Source organism: Homo sapiens, chromosome 2 (genome assembly GCF_000001405.40).
Source record: "Homo sapiens chromosome 2, GRCh38.p14 Primary Assembly".
In the NCBI taxonomy this organism is placed as follows: domain Eukaryota; kingdom Metazoa; phylum Chordata; class Mammalia; order Primates; family Hominidae; genus Homo; species Homo sapiens.
The window spans coordinates 62,001,611-62,011,665 of NC_000002.12; the positions used below are offsets into that span (position 1 = coordinate 62,001,611).

A 10,055-nucleotide genomic window follows, 5' to 3' on the forward strand; every position below is an offset into this window, starting at 1 on the left:
TCTGGCTTATGTCTTTGGGGAAAAAAAAAGAAACTGGTAATTAGGAAGAGAAAACCCAGGTCAATGAATTAGCTAATCACATTTATTTTCAGATAAATAATCAAATAAGTGCTTCTATTATATCCTACAATAGAAATTTATTTCTTACTTGATGAGCTGTCAGATTTTCTTACATATTTTCTTTTATAGTTTCTTTAGATTTTTCAGTGTTTGCAGTTCTGTACTGACTTTAATTTTAATTTAAAAGATAATTCAGGGCCTGGCACAGTGGCTCATGCCTGTAATCCCAGTTTATGCCTGTAACCCCAGCACTTTGGGAGGCTGAGGTGGGCGGATCACCTGAGGTCAGGAGTTCGAGGCCAACCTGACCAACAGAGACCAGAAACCCCGCCTCTGCTAAAAATACAAAATTAGCTGGGCATGGTGGCACATGCCTGTAATCCTAGCTACTTGGGAGGCTGAGGCACGAGAATCGCTTGAACCTGGGAGGTGGAGGTTGCAGTGAGCCGAGATCATGCCATTGCACTCCAGCCTGGGCAATAAGAGCGAAACTCTGTCTCAAGAAAAAAATTTTTTTTAAATAATAAAAGATAATTCAGCCTGAGCACAGTGGCTCACACCTGTAATCCCAACACTTTGGGAGGCCAGGGTGGGTGGATCACCTGAGGTCAGGACTTTGAGACCAGCCTGGCCAACATGGTGAAACCTTGTCTCTACTAAAAACACAAAAATTAGTCAGGCATGGTGGCAGGCGCCTATAATCCCAGCTACTTGGGAGGCTGAGGCAGGAGAATCGCTTGAATCCGGGAGGTGGAGGTTGCAGTGAGCCGAGATTGAGCCACTGCACTCCAGCCTGGGTGACAAGAGCGAGATTCCACCAGAAAAAAAAAAAAAAAAAAAAAAAAAAAAAAAAAGATAATTCATTAAAAATTTTTGGCCAGGCGCAGTGGCTCATCTCTGTAATCCCAGCACTTTGGAAGGCCAAGGCAGGTGGATCACTTGAGGTCAGGAGTTCAAGACCAACCTGGCCAACATGGTAAAGCCCCATCTCTTCTACTAAAAATACAAAAACAAAACAAAACAACAACAACAACAAATTGCCGGGCATGGTGGCGGGCACCTGTAATCCCAGTTACTCAGGAGGCTGAGGCAGGAGAATTGCTTCATCCTGGGAGGTGGAGGTTGCAGTGAGCAGGGATCACATCACTGTACTCCAGGCTGGGTGGGAGACCCTGTTGCAAAAAAAAAATTTAAATATGGAATACCTTTTATTCAGTTATTATAAAGTAGTGCTACTTGTACTTGTTGACTAGTTTGTCTGATCCTAAAGTCAGTTCTCTTGCTGGGCACAGTGGCTCACGCCTGTAATCCCAGCACTTTGGGAGGCTGAGGCAGGTGTATCATCTGAGGTCAGGAGATCAAGACCAGCCTGGCCAACATGGGGAAACCCCATCTCTACTAAAAATACAAAAATTAGCTGGGCATGGTGGCAGGCACCTGTAATCCTAGCTACTTGGGAGGCTGAGGCAGGAGAATCACTTGAACCTGGGAGGCAGAGGTTGCTGTCAGCCGAGATGGTGCCACTGCACTCCAGTCTGGGCAACAGTGAGGCGCTGTCTCAAAAAAAAAAAACAAAACAAAACAAAACAGGCCGGGTGTGGTGGCTCATGCCTGTAATCTCAACACTTTGGGAGGCCAAGGCAGGTGGATCACGAGATCAGGAGATCGAGACCATCCTGGCTAACACAGTGAAACCCGTCTCTACTAAAAACACAAAAAAATTAGCCGGGCGTGGTGGCGGGCGCCTGTAATCCCAGCTACTGGGGAGTCTGAGGCAGGAGAATGGTGTGAACCCAGGAGGTGGAGCTTGCAGTGAGCCGAGATTGTGCCACCGCACTCCAGCCTGGGCGACAGAGTGAGACTCCGTCTCAAAAAAAAAAAACAAAAAAAACTTGTCTGTTCTCTTAACCATTACGTTATGTGACAGATATTTTTACACACACACACACACACACACACACACACACACACCCAACAGATTAGAAAAGTTTAATAAGTACACTTGGATATCTAAGTTTTACCAGCTATTTATATCGGCTATTTAGTTTTCATCCTGCCAGCAGTGCTTATTTCATTTTGTCTATATTTAACATTTGGTCAGGAATATGAAAACATAATCTGTTTTAAGACTCCTAGAAAGCTATGATATTATTTCGTTAATACTATCATAGGTTTCTAGGTTACAGGTTGCTCGCTTCTGTAATCTCAGTACTTTGGGAAGCTGAGGCAGGCAGATCACTTGAGGTCAGGAGTTTGAGACCAGCCTGGCCAACATGGTGAAACCCTGTCTCTACTAAAAATACAAAAATTAGCCGTGTGTGGTGGTGTGTGTCTGTAGTTCCAGCTACTCAGGAGGCTGAGGCACAAAAATCACTTGAGCCCGGAAGGCGGAGGTTGCAGCAAGCCAAGATCGGATCACTTCACTTTAGCCTTGGTGACAGAGTGAGACTGTGTCTCAGAAAAAAAGAAAAAGAAAAAGAAAAAAAGTGTGACAATGATTGTATACATATGTCAAAACTTATAAAATTGTACACTTTATTATTTACAGTTTATTGTACATCACATACTTCAAAGTAGTAAAGAAATAGTCACAATGAAAATGATTGATATTGCACTTTAGCCCATAAAATCCTTTTTATTTGTTTTTTGAGATGGAGTCTCACTCTGTCACCCAGGCTGGAGTGCAGTGGCACAATCTCGGCTCACTGCAGCCTCCACCCTCCGAGTTCAAGTGGTTCTCTTGCCTCAGCCTCCCCGAGTAGCTGGGATTACAGGTGCCTGCCACTGTGCCTGGCTTATTTTTTGTATTTTTAGTAGAGATGGGGGTTTCACCATCTTGGCCAGGCTGGTCTTGAACTCCTGACCTCGTGATCCACCCACCTCGGCCTCCCAAAGTGCTGGGATTACAGGCTTGAGCCACCGCGCCCGGCCTATAAAATCCTTTTTAATACAAATATATGAAGTCAAGAAAAGTTGTAAAGAATAAAGTAAACAATAATAGAACCTAGACTGGCAGTAAAATATATAGCCCACATCCTACAGGAAATGTTTTTGTGAGAACTGGATCCTTGGTTAGTACTTATGCCAGCTTCTAGGTTAGTGTTATTTATGAAATACTCTACTAAATCAAGTACCCAATTTTTAGAACACCTATAGGCACCCACATCAAAGTTGTTTTCACACTGCTGACATTGGATGAGCTTGTGAGAGAATTAACGATCCTAGGATATCAAGAAGTTGCTTCCAAGAAGGGTGACCAGGTTTTTGTTGAACTCTGGTGTGTGTGTTTATGTCTATCTGTGTACCCCAGGGCAACTAAAGTACTGTCTTCAGTTTATATCATTTTAAAGCAGTAGTTCTCAACCATGGTCACACATAAGAATCACATTCAGAGCTTTAAACATGTTGATGCTCAGACCTTACCCCCAGCCAATTACATAAGAATCTGTGGGGATGGAACATAGGTATCGTTATTCTTTAAAGCTGCCCAGATGATTTCAGTATCCAGGGTTGAGAACCACTGTGTTAAAGGTAGCCAAAATAATTGGATTTGATGTGTTAATAGAACTTGGTATCATATTTTTACAACAAGAATTCAATATATGTTGGCATATTGCTTGTACTTGATGTAATTTGTAGAGTGCTTGAGATTGTTTATTCAGGAACTAGTGAAGGTGGGTTTCTTTCATTTCCCTCACTCCCTATTTAAATTTCTCTCTCCTGTTCAGTTTGTCTGTATTACTTTTCTTTGGTCTAAAAAGTAACATTTGAAAATTGGAAGCCAAAGGGCTAATATCCAGAATCTACAATGAACTCAAACAAATTTACAAGAAAAAAACAACCCCATCAAAAAGTGGGCAAAGGATATGAACAGACACTTCTCAAAAGAAGACATTTATGTAGCCAAAAGACACATGAAAAAATGCTCATCATCACTGGCCATCCAGAGAAATGCAAATCAAAACCACAATGAGATACCATCTCACACCAGTTAGAATGGCAATCATTAAAAAGTCAGGAAACAACAGGTGCTGGAGAGGATGTGGAGAAATAGGAACACTTTTACACCGTTGGTGGGACTGTAAACTAGTTCAACCATTGTGGAAGTCAGTGTGGCGATTCCTCAGGGATCTAGAACTAGAAATACCATTTGACCCAGCCATCCCATTACTGGGTATATACCCAAAGGACTATAAATCATGCTGCTATAAAGACACATGCACACGTATGTTTACTGCGGCACTATTCACAATAGCAAAGACTTGGAACCAACCCAAATGTCCAACAATGATAGACTGGATTAAGAAAATGTGGCACATACACACCACGGAATACTATGCAGCCATAAAAAATGATGAGTTCATGTCCTTTGTAGGGACATGGATGAAATTGGAAATCATCATTCTCAGTAAACTATCGCAAGGACAAAAAACCAAACACCGCATGTTCTCACTCATAGGTGGGAATTGAACAATGAGAACACATGGACACAGGAAGGGGAACATCATACTCTGGGGACTGTTGTGGGGTGGGGGGAGGGGGGGAGGGATAGCATTAGGAGATATACCTAATGCTAAATGACAAGATAATGGGTGCAGCACACCAGCATGGCACGTGTATATATATGTAACTAACCTACACATTGTGCACATGTACCCTAAAACTTAAAGTATAATAATAATTAAAAAAAAAAAGAAAATTGGAAGCCAAGTACATACATAACCTTGTTTTCTAAATCACAGTATATATTGCGATATCCTTTGAGATATGAGGAAGCCAGAGTAATAGAAGGCATTATACCTTAATGGAAATCTGCAAAGCTAGAGAAAATGAGTAGGAACTACTGACCCAATTACTTTGCTTGTAGTGAATGTTTTTTCCAACAGAAGTAAAAATTTTGCAAAAATAAAACATGATTCAATTGTAAAAACATGCAGAAAGCTTTAAGGTGAATATTTTATATCCAAAAGATGAACATCAAGTGCTTTGCTTATGAGACTGAAATCCTGTCATATTTGGCCATAAATCACTGTGAGATCTGAGCCATGAGGACTGTAGGAATCTGGCATATGTCTTTAGAAATGTTTTATATTTATTCACCTAACACCTTTGTTGTGTTTTCCTTTCCTGGAACTTCAGTAGAGATTATGATAGAAGTGTTTTCTTTTTTTAAACACTAACTGGGGAGAAGGGATGGTAATTTATACCTTCAGTGGAGTCTCATTTATGGTTATTTCTTCTTTTTAGGCTTGAATTTGGGTATTTTATAAAGATGTATTAGGTTTTCTTTTATGACTTCTTGTCCTTCAAGGCCAAAAGGACATTTTGTGAGGAAACATTTAGACTTAGTCTCAGTACTGAACCATTTAGTACTGAATTGTTCTTGCACATAGATTTTAAGATGCCCTGCATGTAGAGATCCCAAAATATAAAACTCTTTTCTTTGTTGTTTTTTAATTTATTTATTAATGGCTAATGTTATTGCCTTTTCTCAAGTAAGTTTTAGTTTAAGCACTTGTCTAGTTTTGGGTTGAGTTTTTAGCAGACCTATAGAGGAAGACAGATTTTTATATTTTCTGATCTAGTTGTTTTTTTAACCAACTCATATGCTCACTCCTGTCATTTATAAGCAATTAGATGAGGGGGATATTCACTGACCATACATTACAGAATCAAAATAGGTTGGGTTCTGTATTAAAAACTCAGCAATTTTGTCTGAAACATAGATAAACCTCTAATCTCGAGGGAAAGTATTCATTTATTTTTAATTTCTAAATTTCTTTTGAAATAAACTAAATACAATCATGCTCTGCATAATGACATTTCAGTCACTGATGGATCACATATACGATAGTTGTCCCATAAGATGATAATACTGTATTTTAAAGGTAACTTTTCTATATTTAGATATGTTTAGTTACACAAATATAATACTTATCATTGTGTTGCAGTTGCCTACAGTATTCAGTACAGTAATGCCCTGTACAGGTTTATAGCCTAGAAGCAATAGGCTATACCATATAACCTAGGTGTATAGCAGGCTACACCATCTAGGTTTGTGTAAGTACACTCTATCATGTTCACACAATGAATCACCTAATGGCACATTTCTCAGAAGGTATCCTCATCGTTAAGCTATGCATAACTATACACTGATCTGCTTTTGTAATTCTAGCTAGTAAATAAGGAGTAAGAATCTGCTAAAACATATAATTAATAATCCGTTTATGTCTGGGCGCAGTGGCTCACACCTGTAATACCAGCACTTTGAGAGGTTGAGGGAGGCAGATTACTTGAGCCCAGGTGTTTGAGACCAGCTTGATCAACATGGCGAGACCCCATCTCTACAAAAAATATGAAAATTAGCCAGATGTGATACTGCATGTCTGTAATCCAAGCTACTCGATAGAGTGAGGATCCCTTGTGCCCAGGAGGTCGAGGCTGCAGTGAGCTGTGATTGCGCCACTACCCTCCAGCCTGGGTGACAGAGTGAAAGTGAGACCTTGTCTCTAAATAAATAAATAAGTAAATAAATAAAATCAGTTTATACTGAGCTTGGTCATGTACCACTGTAGCTTCACAAGCCTGAGGAATAGTCACCACAGCTATCTGCTTTGTGTCATAGGGGAAGCAGCAAAGTTGCGTGCACATGCACACAGACCCACAATCTTTCATACACACACACAGACAGACACACACACACACACACACACACACACATATATATTTGTTTATACCTGTGTATGTGTGTAAATACATAGAGGGATTTGTAAGGATAGGATATAGGGATTAAATAAAATGCCATTTTATTTTATCAACGTTCAGTCACCATTTTGAGATTATGTTGTCTTACTCCAAATAGCTACCGAGGGGAACAGATAACGTGCTTGGTTATATAAGCTGTAATGCAAGCAATACAAATTTGTTTCTGATAATTCTTGTATTTAAGGTTGATTTTTACTTTCAATAATCTACTAAAGGAAAGCCTCCAAAGAATTAGTGAAACTAGTTTTCTGATAAGATATTCAACTATCATTTGTCAGTAGGGATTGATAAAATTTAACAGCTTGAAGATACTTAAATCATTTTAGAATACATTATTTATTTGTTTGTTTATTTATTTACTTACTTACAGAGTCTCCCTCTGTTGCCCAGGCAGGAGTGCAGTGGCATGCTCTTGGCTCACTGCAACCTCTGCCTCCCGTGCTCAAGTGGTGATTCTTCTGCCTCAGTCTCCCAAGTAGCTGGCACTACAGGCATGCACCACCACTCCTGGCTAATTTTTGCATTTTTAGTAGAGACAGCATTTTACCATGTTGGCCAGGCTGGTCTTGAACTCCTGACCTCAAGTGATACGCCCACCTCGGCCTCCCAAAGTGTTGGGATTACAGGTGTGAGCCACCGGGCCCGGTCTAGAATACTTTAAAAAAAAACAGATAAAGGAATTTTCCATTTCGTATTTTATATCAGATTTAGAACATGGAATTTACTTAAACTTTAATTCTGAATGAGTCAACTCTTTTTGTAGCTCTAAGAAGTGTTCCATAATAGTTTGTGTTCTAAAGTTATGGTCTTCAACTTACAGTTGAATTTAAAGGTATAATTTATAGAAGGCAATGCTTAAAGTTTATAAGAGAAAAAAGAAAGAATAAGACTGGGCATGGTGGCTCATGCCTGTAATCCCAGCACTTTGGGCGACTGAGGCGGGCGGATCACCTGAGGTCAGGAGTTCGAGATCAGCCTGGGCAACTTGGTAAAACCCAGTCTCTACTGAAAATACAAAAGTTTGCCAGGCATAGTGGCACATGCCTGTAGTCCCAACTACTTGGGAGGCTGAGGTAGGAGAATCGCTTGAACTGGGAGGCAGAGGTTGCAGTGAGGCAAGATCACACCACTGTACTCCAGCCTGGGCAACAGAGTGAGACTGTCTCAAAAAAAAAAAAAAAAAGAAAGAATAAGAAATTTTGTTTCCTTAGAAAGTTGTTATAATTTTTGCTTTCACACACTTGTTAAAAAAATCTATGAAAATCTAAAACTTATTATTGAAATTCAAGCTAACTCTGAATTAGCTATTTGTAAACATACTTTGTGGAGAAGGGAATGTTTTAACAAAGTAAAATAAAATAAAAAATAAAAAAGCTAAGAAAAACCCCTTTTAAAAGCATTACTAGTTATAATGAATAGTGAAAGGACTATTCTTGTGAATTCTAGTGAATGGCTAGTGAAATACTTGTAGTAACTAGTGAAATAAAAATGTAAGTTTAATGCTTTTTAGTTTTGAAAACATTAAAATCAGAAGTATTCAGTTATTCATAACTTACCAGTTGAAAAGTAGAAATTTTTGGGAATGTTTTACATAAGGATTATAATAAGTGATATTTAATATTTTTGATGTATTGTAGATTAGACTGCTGTACTGTTAATACAGTACTTCTTTTTCTTAGCTAAGTCTTTCCTTTAAAATTTATATAATGTTTTTGCATTTATTCTCGTTTTAAATAATAGTCTTGAGATTTTAGTTACTGGATCCATAATCAACATTTGACATACTTGAATTACCTTGTCTTTGAAATATTTGTCTTCCAGAATACCGCATTTGCCTGATTTTCCTGCTAGCCTTCTAGCTCTTTTTTTTTTCTTTTAAAATCTCTTTTGCAGCTTCCTTCTAATCCTCACAACATCTAAATGTTGGTGTACCCTTGAACTCTGTCCTCGATCTTCTTTTCTTCCTTTTTACAACTCACTTCCTAGTTGATCTCATGTAATTCCTTGCATTTAAATACCATCTATATGGTAATGACTCCCAAATGTATATCTCCAAACTGGATTTCTCCCCTAAATTTCAGATACATATTTATGACATACTGGAGATCCTGACTTAAATGTGTAAAAGGTATCAAAAATTGAATATGCCCAAAACTAAGTTCCTCATATATCTCCAAAACCTGTTCCCCCTGCATTTTTTCTCATCTCAGTTAGTGGCACCTCCATTCTTCCAGTTCATATCTTTTTGTTTTCTCCTACCCACATCCATTCCACCATCAAATCTTGCTGGGTCTGTTTTTAAAATATATCTAAAATTTGAACACTTCTCACCACCCCCAACTACTCTGTTTAGATCACCATCACCTCTCTCCTAGATTATAACATCCTCCTAACCGATGTCTCTGTTTCTGCTTTTCAGTCTGTTTTCAACACACAGCATCCAGAATGACTGTTAATGCATAACTCAGAAAATATATTCATGGCTTTCCAGTTCACTCCAGTGGCTTTCTGTGTCAGTCAGATTAATAGTTCTCTCCCTTACTTCGTCTACTCTAGCTAGACCCACTGGCCTTGTTGCTAATTTCTGAAACATTCCAGGGATCTTCAGGACCTGTATACTTGCTCTTGCCTCTTTCTCAATTCGTCTTACTCCAGATATGGCTAGCCTTTTCACTTCCTTAAAGTCTTTTGTTTTTTTTAATCACCTTCTCATTAGGCCTTCACCAGCTACCTCTCTAAAAGAATTCTCCATGTCCTGCTTTATGTTTTATATTTACAATTGACAATGTATAATACAATAAACTATTTATTTAAAGTGTACAATTTGGTTAATTTTGGCTGGTGTACATGTCTGTGAAAACACCAGTACAGTCAAGAACCAGAACACGTTCCTCAGCCCCTAAATGGGGACTGTGTCCCTTTACAGTCATCCACAATTTGTGGACAACTGCTGGTCTGCCTTTTGTTACTTTAGTTGTTTTTCTTCTTGTTACTTATTACTACCTAGCATGCTATTTTACTTATTAATCTTGTCAGTGCTCCAGATTAGCATTTAAGAGGACAAAGATTTTTTTTTTTTAATTGCTGCATCCTCACAGTCTTGGATGCCTCCCGGCACATGGTGTTCAGTTAATATTTCTTGAGTGGATAAATCACGTAACTCACTATAAAGCATCTCCTATGTGTCAGACACTACATAGGAGTTGAGGATGTATCAGTGAACAATACAG

At 38.9% G+C, this 10,055-nt stretch overlaps 1 protein-coding gene across 7 annotated transcripts in view, besides 1 other annotated feature; it reads left to right on the forward strand.

Annotated features, from left to right (window-relative positions):
* COMMD1 (copper metabolism domain containing 1) overlaps positions 1-10,055 on the forward strand; it is a 247,668-nt gene that overhangs the window by 113,220 nt on the left and 124,393 nt on the right. The window lies entirely within an intron of this gene.
* Positions 9,333-9,532: an enhancer, noted in NCBI's record as "active region_15844". NCBI's record gives its function as "activates an Ori minimal core promoter by ATAC-STARR-seq in GM12878 lymphoblastoid cells {active_cell/tissue: GM12878}" and the evidence as "EXISTENCE:reporter gene assay evidence [ECO:0000049][PMID:35858748]".